The 20,325-nt window shown below is 43.8% G+C and overlaps 2 protein-coding genes across 19 annotated transcripts in view, besides 2 other annotated features; one reads left to right on the forward strand and one right to left on the reverse strand.

Annotated features, from left to right (window-relative positions):
* SRGAP2B (SLIT-ROBO Rho GTPase activating protein 2B) overlaps nucleotides 1–2,796 on the reverse strand; it is a 208,093-nt gene extending 205,297 nt beyond the window's left edge. For 8 of the 9 annotated variants that reach the window (XM_005277421.5, NM_001385227.1, NM_001366280.2 and 5 more), the window contains exons 1-2: nucleotides 2,639–2,796; nucleotides 251–859 (exon numbers count right to left, since the gene is read on the reverse strand). Coding sequence is in view for 6 of the 9 variants with exons in the window: in NM_001385227.1 (NP_001372156.1) it covers nucleotides 251–317 (67 nt within the window). In the remaining 3 variants the exon portion in view is untranslated. The remainder of the gene's footprint in view (nucleotides 1–250; nucleotides 860–2,638) is intronic. The other variant, NM_001271870.5, reaches the window with a different exon arrangement.
* Nucleotides 1,712–20,112, forward strand: FAM72D (family with sequence similarity 72 member D). Of its 10 annotated transcripts, none has more exons than XM_047429806.1 (5): nucleotides 1,712–2,037; nucleotides 2,228–4,415; nucleotides 6,404–6,481; nucleotides 10,423–10,547; nucleotides 18,919–20,112. In XM_047429806.1, the coding sequence occupies exons 2-5, from the start codon at nucleotides 4,264–4,266 to the stop codon at nucleotides 19,011–19,013; spliced, it is 450 nt and encodes a 149-aa protein (XP_047285762.1). In that variant the 5' UTR covers nucleotides 1,712–2,037; nucleotides 2,228–4,263; the 3' UTR covers nucleotides 19,014–20,112. The 10 variants fall into 10 exon arrangements, 9 of the variants coding, with proteins under 9 accessions (XP_047285762.1, XP_011508264.1, XP_047285765.1 ...); XM_011509962.4 differs by having other exon boundaries at nucleotides 2,228–2,445; XM_047429809.1 differs by having other exon boundaries at nucleotides 2,731–4,415.
* Nucleotides 2,470–2,972: an enhancer, noted in NCBI's record as "H3K27ac hESC enhancer chr1:143913587-143914089 (GRCh37/hg19 assembly coordinates)". NCBI's record gives its function as "activates a minimal SCP1, AML or CMV promoter by ChIP-STARR-seq in naive H9 embryonic stem cells {active_cell/tissue: H9 hESC(naive)}" and the evidence as "EXISTENCE:reporter gene assay evidence [ECO:0000049][PMID:30033119]".
* Nucleotides 3,647–4,214: an enhancer, noted in NCBI's record as "H3K27ac hESC enhancer chr1:143912345-143912912 (GRCh37/hg19 assembly coordinates)". NCBI's record gives its function as "activates a minimal SCP1, AML or CMV promoter by ChIP-STARR-seq in primed H9 embryonic stem cells {active_cell/tissue: H9 hESC(primed)}" and the evidence as "EXISTENCE:reporter gene assay evidence [ECO:0000049][PMID:30033119]".
* Nucleotides 20,113–20,325: the final 213 nt, after the last annotated feature.

The following is a 20,325-nucleotide window of genomic DNA, read 5'->3' on the forward strand; positions in this document are numbered from 1 at the left end:
CTGCCAAAATCATGGTCAGCCCCACAAAGATACTCCTACAGCCCACTGCAAAAATTCCTTTCCAGTGTCAATGGCCCCCTGGCATTGCCCATCCTTTGGAGGTTCAGACCCATCTATGAAACCACCTCTGGGGTCAGCCTGCCCCCATCTGCTCCACCCAAAGAAATGAACAACCTGCAAATCACGGTGGAAATACACGCCTCACCAGTCCACAGAGCATTTGCAGTGTGCTATTTTTCAAAACCCTTACCTTTGACCTGAGTATCGTACTCTGCTATGATCTCCTTATCCTTTTTGAATTTGGCTGGAGACGTCATGTTTTCCTTCTTTCTTCCAAATTCGAATTGTGAATTGATAGATCCACGGAAAAAATCCAACCACCTAAATCAATACCTCCAAGACCGCTTCTCTCGAGGGCAGAAGGGGCCCCCCACGGTGGTCTCCAGCGCTCCGTGGAGCGCGGGCTGCGGGCTGGGCAGACGGCTACGGCGGGCACATGCAGACGGTGGGCGCTGAGGCCGGGTGCGGCGGCGGCTGGTGCCTGTGCTAGAGCCGGAGCCGCAGCCTCAGCATTAGCCGGGAGAACTGCAGCGCCCGGAGGCTGGCCTGGGGTCTGACATCAACGACACAGGCGGGGAGTGGAAGTCCTTCCGCACAACATGGTGTGGGGCTGCGGGGGTGTGGACGCGCCCAGCTGTGTCCCCGGGAGGGAGTGGGTGCTTTTCGGGGTGCCGGGGGAGGGCTGGGCGTGCTTCGCGGTTTTTTGTCGTAGAGGCTCAAAGATGCTGCAAATCAAATCCCAAACGGGAGCCGCAACAGCGCAGACTGGATCGGAAGTCGTTTGCTCCGGTTCACTTGCCTGTAAATGCAGGAAAAGGGGGAGGGGGCGATCAGCCAGAGCGCAGATCCTAATCGCGGCGGGGGTGGGGTAGGGGACGTCGTTCCGAGCCCGCCCTGGGCCCATTCCTGTCCGCTTAACGTCTCCCCGCCCGCAGAGCCTGGCGCTACGAGGTGGGGAGGAAGGAAGCTCCCTCCGGATTTTAAGGCTGAAAGAAAACACTTTGGAGCAGCCGCCTGCGCGGGCTCCGGGCGGGAACTGCAGGAACGCGGGGCACCGGGCGGGGAATGCGGCACCTCGGCGGCCTGCTGAGCCCCGCCAGCGCTGGGCAGCGGCCAGCCCGAGGGAGCCCTCCCGACCTAGCCCCCGACGTGGCCCCAGACCCCCGGCCGGGGCACCTCCCTGTACATCAAAGGGGATCAAAGCCGGGGAGGGACAAGCCACCAGGGCACAACTTTTCTTCCTCTCCCGCCCCTCCTCCCAGTTGTTTTGTTTTTGGTTACTAGCTTCTCTTGGCAGCAAAATGTTGATGGGGGGGCGGGGCAAATCTGCAGGAAAAAGCCTGCTCGGCACGGGACACATCCAGGAAAACAATGTGGTCAGCTGAAGCAGGAAACGGGTTAGAGGATAGGGTCGGAGCCGGGAAAACCGGGGGGCGGCGAGCGGAAGGCAGCCGTCGCCTCCCTCAAGCTAGGGACGATAGTGACTATAAATGCCACCCCCAATATTTTTTTGACACCCAAGCTCAGAGATCCCAGATATCCCACCCAATCCCAGGCTGGGGATGGGAGGAGGTCGGTGAGGTCGCAGTCCTGACTCCTCGCACCAGGCGGTGCCCGAGAAGATCCGGCCCCGGACGAGGCCCAGGGGGCTGGAGGGACGCAAGCGGGAGCGCGGAGCCCGGCGACTAGCTCCCTCGCGTGCCGCAGCGGCGACCCTTTCTACTTGGTCTTTCCTTTTCCTCCGAGCGCCGGGAGGAGGAAGCTCCCGCTAGCGTCTCCCACTTCCCGCGGCTGGAGGAAGGGGCCACGCTGAGGGAACAAGACAGGGAGCAGAGGCGGCGGGGTTCAGGCGAGCGGGAAGCGGGAAGCGAGAGGCGGGTGTGAGATGGGGTCCTGAGGCTGGAAGGGAGCCCGGGGACAACTGGAGTTGCACACGCTCGGAAGGCGGGAGGCGGCAAGGAGAAGGCTGCCTTAGAGGTGAGGGGAATTGGGGCATGATCATGGGCCGCGATGTTGCGTGAAGCGCAAGGATGTCAGGAACTGTGGGGGCCGAGATGTGGTCTAGGGATGGGAGTGGGCGAAGAGAAGTCCATCGGGGCGGGCCGGGGGGTGGGACTCGGGGAGAGCCCCGGAAGCTGCGCGGAACACCCATCCTCCTGGGTCCTAGGCTGGGACCCGGGCTGTCCGCCAGGGCTGGGAGACACTGGAGGAGGCCGGCCGATGATTACGCGCGATGCCAACGACGACTGCCCTACGGTGGACCGCGGCTGCCCGTGTGCGGAGGAAAGGGAGAGGCGGCTGGGTGCCGGCTGCGCTGCGGTCCGTGAGCCAGGACAGAGTCCCAGGCTGTACAGTGATGGGCGGAGAGACTCGCAGTCCTGAGAAGTATTATGGGCTGTACTGGGAGATTTGGAGAGGGTGGAGGAGGGGCGGTCTGAGGGATTCCGGGCGGCACCGCTAAGGCGATGCCGCGAGCAGCATCCGCGCCCTCTCCTTCCCGCCCCAGCCCGGGTTTGTTCAGTCAGGGCTCCAGCCCGGCGGCCGGGAGGAAGAAAAGGAAGAGGGAAGGAGCCTTTACCTGGCTCTGACGCGACGGGTCCCAGGCCCCCGGCTCCGCTTCCCACTCAGAGCTCTCCTCCCCTCTCTTCCCCGCCACCCGTTTCTACGCAGATCTGTGCCCCAGTCCCTGGAGGAGCCTCCGCCAACTCCGCAGGACCCCGCCGGGAAGTAGAGCCCACCCCTTTACCAATCACCGCCCGTTTTCTATCGACCGATGGGGCCCATAGCCAATAGGAAGAGCTGATCCCGAGAGGCCCGGAATGAGGGGGAGGAGCTGGCAAAACTTGGAGGTGTGACTAGCACTGCCGAGGCGTGGTCACAGATTAAGCTCCACCCCGGGTTGTTGAACCCCTAAGTAGAACTGATGGGCGGGATTAAGGTGGAACCGACGACCAAACACAAACTCTTGAGCTGAGGCACGGCCAATTGGGCCGGGGTAGAGAGGAGGGGTGTTGCGGGGAATTTTAACCAATAAAGAGTAGAGACCGGTGGAGACTGTAGACCCTCTTCCAATAAGAAGCGGGAAGGGCGTGCCTTGCCACTTTCACTAGGGCTAAAGCAGGGTTTGCCGAAACCTCCCGAAGCCGGCCAATGAGATCGGAGGCGGAGCCAAGCTCAGCCGACCAGAAAGCCGAATTGATCTCAGCACCGTTACTGGGGCGGTGCCTACGGTCTTCAAGCCACTAAGCTCTCGTGAGGGGAGGCCCCGGAGCCTTCCAATGAGGGACTGGGGCTAACTCTAGTTCTTCCAATCGGTGCGCGGCGCTGGCAATTCAAACTGATACCGGGTTGGAGAGGCAGGAAAAGCGGAAGAGGGAGCGAAAACCAACGTGTTCGGTGACAGACCCCAGCGCCGACTGAGCCTCTAAAGCGACTTCAGCTCTGCCCCACCAACACCACCGCGCGCCCGGGAACAGCCGCTCCGGGAAGAAACCTGAGGGGACTGCGGGGGGCACGAGGGACAGCTGAGGGAAGGGAGGACGCGAGAGAAACAGCGCGAGCACGCTGAGGGCCGGGGGTTGCCAGGAGAGGGGCCCGCGGACCCGCAGAGCGGAGGAAGGTCCGGGAGAAAAGGGGCGGGACGGAGGAGAATCCGGGATCGCCTGGCAGAAAAAGAGAAGGGAGTTTCTGAATCCTGGGAAGAGGAGGCGTGGGTAGGGACGCTTAGCCCGAGATCCGACAGCAGGGAACCGGAGCGCTCCGGGGGAGGGGCTTAATGCTGGGGAAGGGATGTCTTAAAAGAGGAGAAGCTTTAAATTAGACGATCGGAGAAGGCTGAGGGAATTGCTATGAAGGGGCGGGAGCTGAAGTGTAGAGGACTCCTTTAGACAGCAGAAAGGGAAAGCCGTTGAGAAGTTCCCTTCAAACTCCACCTGCCTCCTCTCCAATTCAAACTCCACTCCCTTCTCCAAAAGTTAAAAGGAAAGCCAAGTTTACCACGCTCCCCTGTTCCTACTCAATAAATACTTCTTCTACTCCGCCACCGGGAAAACAGAAAAAAAAACTAATTTCCTTCCCAATATTAGGACTTAGAAAAGCTCTAGGTCCCGCAATTTGAATTTTAGCCTAGGGGAATCAAAATAGTAGGAGCATTACTCTTGTTTCCTTTTTCAAAATCCCACACCTCATCCTTCCTGCGACGCCATGTCCACCAACATTTGTAGTTTCAAGGACAGGTGCGTGTCCATCCTGTGTTGCAAATTCTGTAAACAAGTGCTCAGCTCTAGGGGAATGAAGGCTGTTTTGCTGGCTGATACTGAAATAGACCTTTTCTCTACAGACATCCCTCCTACCAAGTAAGTCATGCTAGTGGCGGGCAACGGTAGCTTTTAACTAAATGGGAACACTTATGGCTTGGATCTGTGGGAGTCAACAAGGAGGTTATCATTTCGGTGTTTCAGCCACTCCCACCAGTTTGATGATCCCCTTGTAATATATCTAAGTGGGCAGACTGTCTGGACAAAGTCTATGGTTTAGCCAAGGTGGTCAGTCCTGATGTAATGCTTCTAGTTCAATTGCAGTCATGCGACCACACATCTCTTAAGTTTGATCCCTGGTTCAGTGCCCTGCCCAACCATCCTATTTCACTGAATCAAGTCCGTGGCGTAGACTTTAGGTAAATTCAGGCAAAATTTTCTGTACTGTTGGAGAGGAGAGGTCATTTAAGTTTTTCATTTTTATCCATGAAATTTTGCACCAAAAAAAAAAAATCCGTTTTCTATCATTATTTGCAATTGGCATCCTAAATCAGATCCGTTGTTCATCAAATTCAGTTTTCTTTCCTCAAAACTCTCTCTCTCTGAAAGAGATGTAAATAGATTTTTATGGGATGAAAAATAGAGACTTAGCCTTAATCCTTATCTCCAATAAAGACTATTTTGGACATTACACATTTGTTCCCATAATTGAACCCTTTTAAAATCTGTTTGTTTTCAGCCACTAACTGCTTTTGGGTGTAGAGTCCTTAAGAATTTGCTTCCTATTTGGTAAAATAGCCATTTTATTTGACTCAAATAAACCTCTTTCTAGCTCTAAATGGTACTTTCCCTTTCCATAATCAACATATATATGCCCTACATGAATCTTCAAAATTTAGTTATTTATTGAAATTTTATTATTAAAAGGAAAGTAATTATCCAAAATATGAGTGGACAGTTATTCTCTAAGTCTTTGGATATAGAGCCAGAGGAAGCAGGTTAATAACCACAATTCATTTTAAATGAATTTCATGATAATGATAGAAACTTTACAAGTTTTTTGATTTACCCAGGTAAAGCTGTGTACTCTTCCTTTCTTGAAATCTTTTCTGAATTGGTCTAAGTGTAATCACGTCTAACAGCAAAGCCAAAGGCTCTCATTTATTGCAGAGATAAATGTGTTATTTTAAAATCTTTTTAATTTTTTTAAATTCTAAGTTAATATTTTACATTTGTGTGTGTGTACATCGTATATGTATTTCAAAAAAGGGAAAACACTAGAAAATAAATCATAGAACCTACTGCTACAAAGTTCTGTGATTCATTGTCCACTGCTTTTTCTTTTTAGTAGCTCATACACAAATTTAAAATATTAACCCATTCATCTTTGCAATAGCTATGGTAAGTAATAGGGCAGTCATAAGGAAGGCTAGGTGAATTGTTACAGGTTAGACCCAAGTCTAGAATAGAATCATGTTTTTCCTATTTTCTACCCTTCTTTGTAGGGGTTAAAATAATAATGAATTAGCGTGCTAAGATGTATGTGAATCAATGAACACATAAAAATTTTTTTAATGGAAAATTTGTCAGATGTTTATGTTGAGCTCACAAATATGAACTGACTCTTTAAAAATATACTATACTTCTATGTTAGCTTTCAGCTCTTTGGATTGACAAAATTTGTGCTAAATCAAGCGTAGAATTACTATCTGATCCAGCAGTTCTGGGTACATATCCAAAAGAATTCAAAACTGGATCTTGGAAGAGATATTTGCACACCCATGTTCATTAACAGCATTATTCACAATAGCCAAGAGGTGGAAGCAATCCAAATGTCCATTGATTCTACAGATGAACAGATAAACAAAATGTGGTATAGGGCGCCTATAGTTCCACCTACTCAGGAAACTCTGGTAGGAGGGTCACTTGAACCCAGGAGATTCATTACACAGCAATGTGATTATATTTAACACATCTGCTCTGCACACATAAAACTTGTTAAGTTGGTAAATTTTGTTAATTTTTTGCCACAATTAAATTTTTTGTAAAGTACATCTGACTGTCTTTTTATACCTTTCTCTCTCCAGCGCAGTGGACTTCACTGGAAGATGCTATTTCACCAAAATCTGCAAATGTAAACTGAAGGACATCGCATGTTTAAAATGGTAATTTGTGGCACTATTCTGGATAGCTCTGGGTTTGGAAGATGGATATTGACACCAAAGCATAGAGAAAGGTTCAGTGGGCTGCAACAAGGACTGGTATAAAGCATGCAATGAGCCATTGAAAAATTACTTATTACTTAGAGCTATTTTTTAAAAGGGTTTTCTGATGCTTCACATTAGTATATAATTTTACAGTTTTCAAAGTGTATTCACAGTATCCGCTTCAATTTTCAGAACAAGGCAATGTAGGTTAGGGGGGAGAAACACCTGGATTTACAATAATAAAAATCATGTTTGAGGTCTGACCCTACCCTTACTCTCTATGTGACCTTGAGTGAACTCCTTTAGCCTCTAAACTGCTGAACCTCTGTTTTCTTATTTAATTTCTAGGTTATTACTCCTTCTTTCTTTGTTTTTAGAGGGGTCTCATACTGTTGCTCAGGCTGGAGTGCAGTGGCATGATCATAGCTCACTGTAGCCTTGAACTCCTGGGCTCAAGTGATTCTCCTACCTCAGCCTCCTGAGTAGCTGGGACTACAGGCAGGCACCACCAGGCCTGGCTAAGTTTTTTATTTTTGTAGCAATAGGGTCTTGCTATGTTGCCCAGGCTGATCTCAAACTCCTGGCCTCAAGTGATCCTCTCTCCTCAGCTTCCCAAAAGGCTGGGATTACAGGTATGAGCCACTGCATCCTACCTTAATTTCTTTCTTTCTTTCTTTTTTTGAGAAGGAGTTTTTGCTCTTGTTGCCAAGGCTGGAGTGCAATGGCGCGATCTAAGCTCACCACAACCTCCACCTCCCAGGTTCAAGTGATTCTCCTGCCTCAGCCTCCTGAGTAGCTGGGATTACATGCACGCACCACCATGCCCAGCTAATTTTTTTTTTTTTTTTTTTAGTAGAGACAGGATTTCTCCATGTTGGTCAGGCTGCTCTTGAACTCCCAACCTCAGGTGATCCGCCTGCCTCAGCCTGCCAAAGTGCTGGGATTACAGGCATGAGCCACCCCACCCAGCCATTCTGTCTTATTAAGATAGAAATTTAATAATCTTCTGTGTTTACCTTATCAAGTTATTATAAAGAGCAAATATGAATGTTAAAGTGCTCAATAAACTATAAATTACAACAGCTGAGAGCTATTACTATAATCTTTTGAGAAGTAGACGTGTTATTATTTTCATTTTAGGAGGATAAAAGTTGAAATTTTCTCATTTAGATGGGGTTTGTATTTAGAAGGGGTTTGTATTATAAATGACAATCCTAATAATTTAAATTGGCAAGCTCTTCTTATGTGCTATTTGATTTCATTCCTTTATTTAAGCTATACTTGTATTGAGGAACTAGTATGTGGTAGTCATTGTTACAAGGGCTGGAAATACAACAAAAACTAGATGAAGTCACTGGCCTTTGGACATTATTTTCTTCTTTCTTTTTTTTTTTTTTTTTTTAAGACGGAGTTTTGCTCTGTCGCCCAGGCTAGAGTGCAGTGGCACGATCTCAGCTTACTGCAACCTCCGCCTCCCAGGTTCAAGCGAATCTCCTGCCTCAGCCTCCTGAGTAGCTGAGACTACAGGCACGCACCACCATGCCCAGCTAATTTTTCATATTTTAGTAGAGACAGGGTTTCACCGTGTTGCCCAGGCTGCTCTCAAACTCCTGAGCTCAGGCAGTCCGCCTGCCTTGGCCTCCCTAAGTGCTAGGATTACAGGCGTGAGCCACCGCACCCAGCCCACCCGGCTAATTTTTGTATTTTTAGTAGAGACAGGATTTCGCCATGTTAGCCAGGCTGGTCTCAAACTCCTGACCTCAAGTGATCCACCTGCCTCGGCCTCCCAAAGTGTGAGATTACAGGTGTGAGCCACCGCACCTGGGCAACGACATTTTTTTTGTTTTGTTTTGAGACGGAGTCTTGCTCTGTTGCCCAGGCTGGAGTGCAATGGCATCATCTTGGCTCACTGAAACCTCCGTCTTCTGGGTTCAAGTGATTCTCTCACCTCTGCCTCCCGAGTAGCTGGGACTACAGGCACATGCCACCATGCCCAGTTAATTTTCGTATTTTTAGTAGAGGTGGGGTTTCGCCATGTTGGCCAGGCTGGTCTCGAACTCCTGACCTCAAGTGATCCACCCGCCTCAGCCTCCCAAAGTGCTGGGATTACAGGCATGAGCCACCGCACCCGAAGAACAACATTTTCAAAAGAAAACCAAAACAGGAAAGTTAATTTTAATCATATATTTTGTCTAACCCAATGTATCCAAAATATTATTTCAACATGTAACCAACATAAACTACTAATGTAATATTTTATATTCCATTTTTTGGTCTTACTCTTTGAAATCTGGTGTACATTTTACACTTAACAGCACATCTCAATTCAGGCCAGCCCCACTGCAAGTGTACAACAGCCACATGTGGCTAGTGGCTATTATTCTTGACAGCATAGATCTGGACCTTGGTATGGAAAGGTTTTTATTTTCATTTTTGGCTATTGAAGAGGTTTTAACCAGGGAGCAGAATGATCTGATGTAGCCTCGCTAGACTGTTAGCTCCGTGACAACAAGGGCTTTGTTTTGTTTACCAGTGTATTCCTAGCACCTAGAGCAGTGCCTGAAAGACAGCAGATACTCAATAAATGTTAGTTTAAGTGATGAATCAATGGATGAATGAATGAATATAGGCGGTAATTAAAGTCATGGAATTTACTTTTGCAATATAGTCTTACAAATAACTGGCACTCCTAGTCCAAACACAACTTTTGTTTTCATTTGTTTGCCTTTCAAGCAAGTTATAATTAGAAGACATATTTTAGGTGGAATGGTACCTTTTATAGTAATCTTTATTGGGTCTCATAAAAATGACTGACTCACAAATCTCACAGAGTAAGACTAAGCTTGAATAAGAATTTTTACAACTCAAGGTATAAACAGTTCATGTTGCTATTTTTTTTAAAGTACTAGCTAAAACATTCCCTGTAGGTTCACTCTATTTAATATGTGACTAGCTAGTTAAAAAAAAAAAATGTGAAAGACTGAGGTACTTATAATCAGCTGGATAATTCTGAAAACTGTAAAAACTTTTGCAACTTTCTCTGGAGGCTGTAGATTGCTTTATTTCTGAGTTCCTTCAAAAACACTGAGACTAAAATTAGAGCAGCCAGATTGTATTTGGTTTACAGGGACTCATGCTGTCTTCCTACCTCTCCATCTGTTGAAACAGTTTTTAGGTGCTGGCATGAAACTAGAACATGTAAGAACCCAACTTGCCACAGTCCTGGGATAGCAAAAACCTTTACCCACAGAACTGAGTTAATTTAATTTATTTTGTCTGTACAGCACATCAATTTGGGTGGTTTATAAAACAAATCACAACATTATGGCATCTAGAAGCTAACTTCTGAAGGGAGAATGCATAAAATAATACTAGCAGGACAAGCATGGTGGCTCATGCCTGTAATCCCAGCACTTTGGGAGGCCAAGGCAGGTGGATCACCTGAGGTCAGGAGTTCGAGACCAGCCTGGCCAACATGGTAAAACCCCATCTCTACTAATAACACAAAAGTTAGCTGGGCATGGTGGCACACGCCTGTAATCCCAGCTATTCTGGAGGCTGAGGCAGGAGAATCACTTGAACCTGGGAGGCGGAGGTTGCAGGCACTCCAGCCTGGGTGACAAGAGCAAAACTCGGTCTCAATAATAATAATAATAATAATAATAATAATAATAATAATAATAGCAAAGAAATGTGAGAATATTTTACTATTATTCACTTAAAGACTGCTTTCCCACTTGATGGTAGAACTGCACCCCCATCCCATCCCAAAGATCTCAGCAATGAAAGTTGTTAGGAAATGAGATCTAAATTATATGGTCTATTTATATAAGCAATATGAAAAGACTTATCTGGCTAGTTATTACATGGTATCTAGTAACATTTACTTTCTTTTCTAGTGGGAACATTGTAGGTTATCATGTGATTGTTCCATGTAGTTCCTGTCTTCTTTCCTGCAACAACAGACACTTCTGGATGTTTCACAGCCAGGCAGTTTATGATATTAACAGACTAGACTCCACAGGTAAGAAACAATTGACTTGGACATTCCTGTAACATTTCTCTATCAATACCTGAGTAAAATTCCCAATAGATCATTTCAGGATTCCTTTTAGATCTTCTTAGCTGGATTAGCTAGAGTGAAACTTCAATTCTTTTTTCCCAGACATTCACTTATGAAAACTATTAGGCAAAATTCATTGTCATTTCTATGTTCATCCTTGTACTTAAGGCCTCAAACTTGGCTGAATTTCTTGGTCTTTTAAAATGAATATTATAATTGCTCTTAACTGCTGCCTTGATACATATTCTGACTCCAGAGAATTTTTGAAGATTTTAGATTTGATAGTCTAATGCATGTGTGTGTCTGTGTGTGTGTGTAAGAAAGGGAGAGGCCAGGCCTAGGGCAATGGGAGTTGAGAGGAGGAGGACTAAGTAACCTCTGTATTTGGTGATGCTTCAGAATAAAAACAGACATTTCGACATCTATGTTAATACGTTATGACAGAATTTTAGTCAAGGGAAATATTTGACACCAAAGTATAAAGTATGTTGTACAGGCACAAGTGGAGATATTGTAGGTTCAATTCCAGACCACCATAATAAAGCAAGCAAATATCACAATTAAAGCAAGTCACACAATTTTTTGGTTTCCCAGTGTGTATAAAAGTTATGTTTACAATATATTGTAGTCTATTAAGTGTGCAATAGCAGGACATTTAAAAAACAACGTGCATACCTTAATCAAAAAATACTTATTCGGCCGAGAGCAGTGGCTCATGCCTGTAATCCCAGCACTTTGGTAGTCCAAGGCGGGAGGATCACTTGAGCCCAGGAGTTTGAGACCAGCCTGGGCAGCATGCTGAGACCTCATCTCTACAAAAAAAATACAAAAATTATCCAGGCATCGTGGGGCATACTATCGTCCCAGCTACCCAGGAGGCTGAGGTGGGAGGATCACTTGAATTTGGGAGGTAGAGGCTGCAGTGAGCTGTGATCATGCCAGTGCATTTCAGCCTGGGCAACAATATGAGACCCTGTCTCAAAAAAGAAAAAAAAAATGCTTTATTGCTAAAAACTGCTAATGATCATCTGAACCTTCAGCAAGTCATAATCTTTTTGCTGGTGGAGGGTCTTGCCTTGATGTTGATGACTGCAAACTGATCAGGGTGGTGGTTGCTGGAGGTTAGGATGGCTGTGGCAGTTTCTTAAAATAAGACAACAATGAGGTTTGCCGCATGGATTGACTCTTCCTTTCACAAAAGATTTCTCTGTAGCATGTGATGTCATTTGATAGAATTTTACACATAGTAGAACCTCTTTCAAAATTGGAGTCAATCCTCTCAAATTCTGCTACTACTTTACCAACTATGTTTATGTAATATTCTAAATCCTTTGTTTTCATTTCAACAATATTTACAGCATCTTCATCAAGAGTAGATTTCACCTCAAGAAACCATTTTCTTTGCTCATCCATAAAAAGCAACTCTTCATCCATTAAAGTTTCATCATGAGATTGCAGCAATGCAGTCACGTCTTCAGGCTCCATTTCTAAGTGTAGTTTTCTTGCTATTTCTACCACATCTGCAGTTACTTCCTCCACTGAAGTCTAAAACCTCTCAAAGTTACCCATGAGGGTTGGAATCAACTTCTTTCAAACTCCTGTTAAGACTGATATTTTGACCTCCTCCCATGAATCAGGAATGTGCTTTTCCAGGTTTTCAATGTACTTTGCCCAGATCCATCAGAAGAATTACTATCTATGGCAGCTATAGCCTTATGAAATCTATCTCTTAAATAATAAGACTTGAAAGATTAAATTACTTCTTGATCCATGGGCTGCCAAATAGATGTTATGTTAAGGCATTAAAGCAATATTTATCTCCTTGTACAATGCCATCAGAGCTCTTGAGTGACTAGGTGCATTGTCAATGAACAGTAATATTTTCAAAGGGATTTTTCTGAGCAGTAGGTCTTAACAATGGGCTTAAAATAGTTAGTAAAACATGCTGTAAACAGATTTGCTGTCGTCCAGGCTTTGTTGTTTCATTGACAGCGCACAGGCAAAGTATATTTGGCATAATTCCTAAGAACCCTAGAAATTTCGGAACAGTAAATGAGCATTGGATTCAACTTAAAGTCACCAGCTGCATTATCCTCTAACAAGAGATTCAGCCTGTCCTTTGAAGCTTTGAAGCCAAGTATTACTTCTCCTCTCTAGCTATGAAAGTCCTAGATGGCATCTCCTTCCAATAGAAGGCTGTTTTGTGTATATTAAAAATCTCTGCCGGATGCAGTGGTTCACGCCTATAATCCCAGGACTTTGGGAGGCCGAGGTGGATGGATCACCTGAGGTCAGGAGTTTAAGACCAGCCTGACCAATATAGTAGAACTCTGCCTCTACTAAAAATAAAAAATTAGCTGGGCGTGGTGGTACATGCCCAGCTACTTGGGGGACTGAGGCAGAAGAATCACTTGAACCCAGGAGGTGGAGTTTGAAGTGAGCCGAGATCGCACCATTGCACCAAGAGTGGAACTCCATCTGAAAAAAAAAAGGAATAAGAGGCCGGGCGCGGTGGCTCACGCCTGTAATCCCAGCAGTTTGGGAGGCCAAGGCGGGCAGATCACCTGAGGTTGGGAGTTCGAGACCAGCCTGACCAACATGGAGAAACCCCGTCTCTACTAAAAATACAAAATTAGCTGGGCATGGTGGCGCATGCCTATAATCCCAGCTACTTGGGAGGCTAAGGCAGGAGAATGGCTTGAACCCGGGAGGCGGAGGTTGCGGTGAGCCAAGATCACGCCATTGCACTCCAGCCTGGGCAACAAAAGTGAAACTCCATCTCAAAAAAAAAAAAAAGAAAAGAAAAGAAAAATCTGTTGTTTAGTGTAGCCACCTTCATCCATAATCTTAGCTAGATCTTCTGGATAACTTGCTGCAGCTTCTACATCTGCACTTTTTGCTTCACCTGAACTTGTATGTTATAGAAATGGCTTCTTTCCTTAAACTTTATAAACCAACCTCTGCTAGCTTCAAACTTTCTTCTACAGTTTCCTCAACTTTCTTGCCCTTCATAGAATTGCAGAGAGTTAAGACCTAGCTCTGGATTAGGTTTTCGCTTAAGAGAATATCATGGCTGGTTTAATCCTCTATCTAGGTCACTAAAACTTTCTCCATATCAGCAATAAGGCTATTTCACTTTTTTATTCTTGTTTTCACTGGAGTAGCACTTCTTATGTCCTTTAAGAACTTTTCTTTGCAGTCACAAGTTGGCTAACAATTGGGCATAAAAGGCCCAACTTTCAGCCTGTCTCAGCTTTCAATATGTCTTCCTCACTATGCTTAATCATTTCTAGCTTTTGATTTACAGTGAGAGACATGCCACTCTCTTTCACTTGAACACTTAGAGGTCATTGTAGGGATATTAACTGGCCCAATTTCAATATTGTTGTATCTTAGGAAATAGGGAGGCCCCAGGAAAGAGAGCGAGAACAGCTGGTCAGTGGAGCAGTCAGAACACACAAAATATTTATCGATTAAGTTTGCAGTCTTAAGTGGGTGTGGTCTTAAGTGGGTGTGGTTCATAGCACCCTGAAACAATTATAACAGTAACATCAAAGATCACAGATCACCATAATATATATAATAATAATGAAAAAGGTTGAAATATTGAGAGAATTATCAAAATGTAACAGACACAAGGTAAGCATATGCTGTTAGACTTACTCAATGCAGGATTGCCAAAACCTTCCATTTATATAAAGCCCAGTGTCTATGGTGTACAATAAACTAAAGCACAATTGAGGTATGCTTATACTAATTATTTTAGCAAGGCCAGGCATGGTGGCTCACACCTGTAATCCCACACTTTGGGAGGCCAAGACAGATGATCACTTGAGGTCAGGGGTTCGAGACCAGCCTGGCCAATATGATGAAACCCCCCTTGAACCTAGGAGGTGGAGGTTGCAGTAAGCCGAGGTGGCACCGCTGCACTCCAGCCTGGGCAACAGAGTGAGACCCTGTCTCAAAAAAAAAAAAAAAAAAAATTATTTTAGTAAGAAAGTACACTACCAATTCTTTTAAAAAAAAAAATTTCTTTTTCCTTGTGTTAAGGTGCTGAGGCACTGAAATACTAATTCTTTTTTTTTTTTTTTTGAGACAGAGTTTCACTCTTGTTTCCCAGGCTGATGTGCAATGGTGTCATCTTGGCTCATGGCAGCCTCTGCCTCCCGGGTTCAAGCGATTCTCGTGCCTCAGCCTCCCGAGTAGCGAGATTACAGGCATACGCCCAGCTAATTTTTTTGTATTTTTAGTAGAGACAGGGTTTCACCATGTTGGTCAGGCTGGTCTTGAACACCTGACCTCAGGGGATCCGCCTGCCTCAGCCTCCCAAAGTGCTGGGATTACATGGGATTACAGACGTGAGTCACCATGCCTGGCCTGAAGTACCTTTTTTTTTTTTTTTTTTTTGAGATGGAGTCATTCTGTCACCCAGGCTGGAGAGCAGTGGCGTGATCTCGGCTCACCGCAACCTCCACCTCCCGGGTTCAAGTGATTCTCCTGCCTCAGCCTTCTGAGTGGCTGGGATTATAGGTGCGCACCACTACACCTGGCTAATTTTTGTATTTTTAGTAGGGACGGGGTTTTGCCATGTTGCCCAGGCTGGTCTCGACCTCCTGACCTCAGGTGATCCGCCCACCTCAGCCTCCCAAAGTGCTGGGATTACAGGTGTGAGCCACTGCACCGGCCAAAGTACCAATTTTTAAAGGGGATTTATATAATACTTTTTATATTGCCTGGAGCCATTGAGTTTTGTTATAAGACACATGTTCTCCATGTCTAACATCTATTTACACAACAGACCAAGTTGATTTTAAGGAACTTTTTTTTTTTTTTTGGAGACAGGGTCTTGCTCTGTCACCCAGGCTGGAGTGTAGTGGCACAATCTTGGCTCACTGCAGCCTCGACCTCCCAGGCTCAAGCCATTCTTCCACCTCAGCCTTCTCAATAGGTGGGACCACAGGTGTGTGCCACCATCCCTGTCTAATTTTTTGTATTTTTCATAGAGACCAGTTTTTGCCATTTTGCCCAGGCTGGTCTCGAACTCCTGTCCTCAAGTGATCTGCCCACCTTGGCCTCCAAAGGGCTGGGATTACAGGCCTGAGACACCTCGCCAGCCGACTTTAAGTAACTTGACAATCTAAGTTGACACTAGCATTCTTAGGTTCCTAAATGCATGTTTTAGTCTCCTTTAGAACTTAAATGTATTTTTTAAATATATGATTTGCCTTCACAGACCAAAAGATCACGAATTGCAAGCTAGGTTGTCAAGGGTCTTTAAATCCTCCAATTATGCTTAGATTTTTGTAGATTTGATTTTTTTATCTGGGACTCAACTGTGGCTCTCAATCTATCATTTATGGGGTCTTAATTTAAAACTTTGGTATGTTAAGAAGGCCATTTTCATGTAAGGACTTATCTGAACTCCCCTAAGTGGGATACAGTCTCCTAATTTAAGCCTCCAGTTTTATATTTGTGTTGCCCATGGGACACATTAAAGGAAGTTTCTGCTTTGATAGTATTTTTCCTGCTTTACAGAATTCAAAACACAGGGTGGAGATTTTTCAAGTTTGATTTACTTTTTAATATTGGTCAATTTTTCAAAGATAAAAGCCCCGCATTCTTCCATTTGCACTGAATCTAATCCATAAGAAACAGATGTATCACAGGATTTCCTTCCTCCCTTCTTAACAGAGAAAGGAAGGTGCTGCTTCTGTCAGATCCAATCTCTTAGTTTATTTTTCCTCCTTTGAACCAATTGTGCTGAGCTGCTTCATGTCTCTGAGTACTGACTCCAAGAATATCAAGCTTCTGCTTTGTAACCCTAATATTGTGATTTCAAGCAAGATTTTCTAGATGCTTGGTATCAAAGCAAGTTTCTAATGGCGCCACAACTGTCCTTGAATCACCTGAACCAGCAGTGTCAAAGGAATGCATAGACAAGCTTTATAAATTCTATAATGTTTAAACTGAAAAGGACTCCTGGAGGTCTGTTTTCTAGGCTAGTCTTCATTTAGAGACCTGATTTCCCAGAACTTTCTGGAGGAGCCTTGGGAAACCTCAGCTCAAATTTCCTGAAATTGGCAAATGCCCTCAGAGTCAAAATGGCTTCAGCCCTCCATTTACATTTATGGGTTCTAATTTTCACTTTGATTTTTGCCTCGCAATTCCTTACAGCTCTTCCTGTCAGCTCTTCCATGACATTTACCTGGAGCAGAACACCATTCATTCTTAGGGTGGGGGTGGGGATGGGGTAGCGTTTTCTATTATAAACAATTCAAACACGAAAAGATTATAGAAAATAATAAGATACACATCTGTATCCCTACCAGCATCAGATACATGCTAAATTCTTGCCAGATTAGATTCCAGTATCTCCCTCAGTCAAGGTAAACAGTTAATTATTTCTACTGTTTCAACAATGTCACACTACACATCCCTGTGCATGTCGCCTTGAACCACCTATGCAAGATGGGCAGCTGAGGAAGGGATGAGCAATGGGCTGTATTTGCAACATTTTTAAAAATTCACAAAATGGAATACTCTCCAGAAGTAAAAATAAATGAGCGAAATCTACACAAGTTAACATGGATTAACCTCAAAAACATGACGAGTGAAAAAGCAAATTAGAAAACAATATGTAGTGTAATAACATTCTATACAAAATTTAAATCCACTAAACAGTAATATATATTGTCTATGTTGCATGCATTTGTAGTAAAACCATGCATGGTGTACTAGCAGTGGTGAACACTGGATTCAAACCAAATCTCCAAATCCTGGCTCATTCCATTCCGCCATGTGGCTGCTATCTCAGTGTATATGGGGTGGGTATCCTGAATTGCTGGATCCTCTTTGTGTCCACACTGATAACTGGACAGCTTAAGATTTGTTTTTCTGGCCAAGTGTGGTGGCTCACATCTGTAATCCCAGCACTTTGGGAGGCCGAGGCGAGGGGGATCACCTGAGGTCAGGAGTTCAAGACCACCCTGACCAACGTGGTGAAACCCCATCTCTACTAAAAATACAAAAATTACCCAGGCATGGTGGCATTCGCCTGTAGTCCCAGCTACTCGGGAGGCTGAGGCACGAGAATCACTTGAACCTGGGAGGCAGAGGTTGCAGTGAGCCAAGATTACACCACTCGACTCCAGCCTGGGCAATAGAGCGAGACTCTGACTCAAAAAGAAAAAAAAAAAGATTTGCTTTTCTTGTGAAGTTAATTGGCTATCCTAGAGGTCAGTTATTTTCCATTTAGTGCTTTTAACTAATAATGTAATATATGCCCAGAGTAATAAACTTGTCATTATCCTCTACTGTATGTTTAGTCATTTACTGTATACCTGTGCTTCATTCTTCAATATGAAATCTGACTATTCTTTCTCAGTGAAGTTTTTGATTATTCTTTTGTTTATTATAGTGACTGCTGCAACCTGGCCCTAAAGTTCAGTTTAAAGCTCTGCCTGTGGACTGAAACCCACTGGTACCAAGGATTGCAGTTCATATTATAACTGGCTCCGAACCCTTGCTTTTTTTCTGAATCAGAAAAATGGCACCAGCTACTTCTCTGCTTATTGAAGGGATGAGGAGACTTATTCAGGACTTCTCCCTGAACCCTCCAAAGAGGCATTTAATCTAAAAGGATCTTGTGAGATCTCCATTCTTAAACATCATTAAAATAGATCAGAAAATTATCAGTGTATAGTGATTATGTTATAATGCAGCTGGAGGCAGAGTTTGAGTAAATGGACTCCTGAGAGCCTTTTGAGCTGTAAAATTCTAGAATTCAAGCCCTTGCTTAAAAGGATTTAAAGAATGTTTATGTCCTAGCCCTTTAAAAAAAAGTGTTTGCCAGGCATGGTGGCTCATGCCTGTAATCCCAACAGTTTGGGAGGTCAAGGAGAGAGGATTGCTTGAGCCCAGGAGTTTGAGACTAGCCTGGGCAACATAGTGGGAACCTGTATCTACAAAATAAAATTAGCCATGTGTGGTAGTACACGCCTGTAGTCCAAGTGACTTGGGAGGCTGAGGTAGGAGGATCACTTGAGCCCTGGAGGTTCAGGCTGCAGTGATCTGTGATTGTGAACCGTGATCCTGCCAGGCACTCCAGCCTGGGCAACACAGAGAGAATTTCTCTCAAAATAAATAAATAAAGTTTATGTCCTAGATGGATAATATTAGGTAATTTTATTTGCAGTACATTCTTCAATAGCTACTCTTTTTACTGCTAACACTATGGTTTACATAAGAATATTAACATATAAAGTTTCGTAATTTGTGTTCTGAGTTATAACAGTAGTAAGCATTAAAGAATTTTATGACTTTTTATTTTCAGGTGTAAACGTCCTACTTCGGGGCAACTTGCCAGAGATAGAAGAGAGTACAGATGAAGATGTGTTAAATATCTCAGCAGAGGAGTGTATTAGATAAATGGAATTATGATATATATGATATACAAACTTTTTTCTATTTAAAAATATATTAATGGATCAACTTTAAAATTGTTAGTTGCCAGTGATCTTTTTTGGAAAACAAAAATGGGGCATTTGTTGATTTATTTATTTTCTGTCTCTAATTAGTTACCTCAGTTTGATTGAAGCCAGTGGAGTTGTGCTTTTCCTCTACTTCTACTTCCTCTCCCCCACCTTTTTCTGCCCAGTGTAGGTGTATTCTTAAATTCAGACGGGAAGATTCTTTCACATATCACTCAGTTACCTCCCAATCTGGGGGAGTTTTTCTTACAACTTGATACCAGATACCATTAATTTTACATTCCTGAATAAAGGCCTAGTACCCACGCATATTTCAACCATGCATATATCAAGTTCAACCGAGTTTTAATAGGGGATTAAAAAAACAAGCTGTTAGGTTTCCATGGGCACTGGTTCTCATAGGTTCTATTGGTGATAACTGCTTTAACATGGAGCAAGAGTTTGTGAATCAGGAAATAGAATAAATTAAAATTTAAAATATATAGAGGAATCCTCTTGATTGCTCAGCATGATGTTAGATAAATGAGTTTGTCAGAAAATATCAGTATACGCTGTTTACCAATGTTATTTATTTACATTCTTCTAAAGCCATTATGGATATTGTATTATGAGAGCTAAACCTAAATAAGTTATCCTGTTCCCTAGGACCTTCTCTGTAAATAGTGAATTTTAGACGAGTGGTCTGTCCTAAATCTTAAATAGAAAAAAAAACTAAAGCGATTTGCTTAAGCCATTGTACATTATAAAGAGCTGTTTTGTTTTGCTTTGCTTTGCTTTGTTTTGTTTTTTTAAAGCTGCATTCAGAGCTACAAAGGAATAGGAAAGTAGGGTAGTGTTGGATTCTGGTTTTATGTAACTCTAAAATAAATGTATCTCTTTAATATCTCAGTTGTAGGGATTTTGTCAATACCAAAGCAGACTGAGTTGTGGTTTTGTAAATAAAGTTTTTTCTAAAAATGACCATTCTTCCTTTAATTTTTTGTTATGCCCACATATTGTATGTAAAAATATAAATAAATAGTACTTAAAGTATAGAATATAAGGCTAATGTTTATTGAATACTTACCATATGCCAGACACTGTTCTAAGTGCTTTAGACGTTTAACTCCTCACAACAAACCTATGAGGTAGGTACCATTATTATTCCTTTTTTTTTAAACTGGTAAATCAGGTGAGACAGAGAGAAGTTAAGTAATTTGTTTAAGGTAGCATAACCGGTTAGAGGTGCTCAGACAGAAGACTGACTCCAA

Source organism: Homo sapiens, chromosome 1 (genome assembly GCF_000001405.40).
Source record: "Homo sapiens chromosome 1, GRCh38.p14 Primary Assembly".
Taxonomy (NCBI): Eukaryota; Metazoa; Chordata; class Mammalia; order Primates; family Hominidae; genus Homo; species Homo sapiens.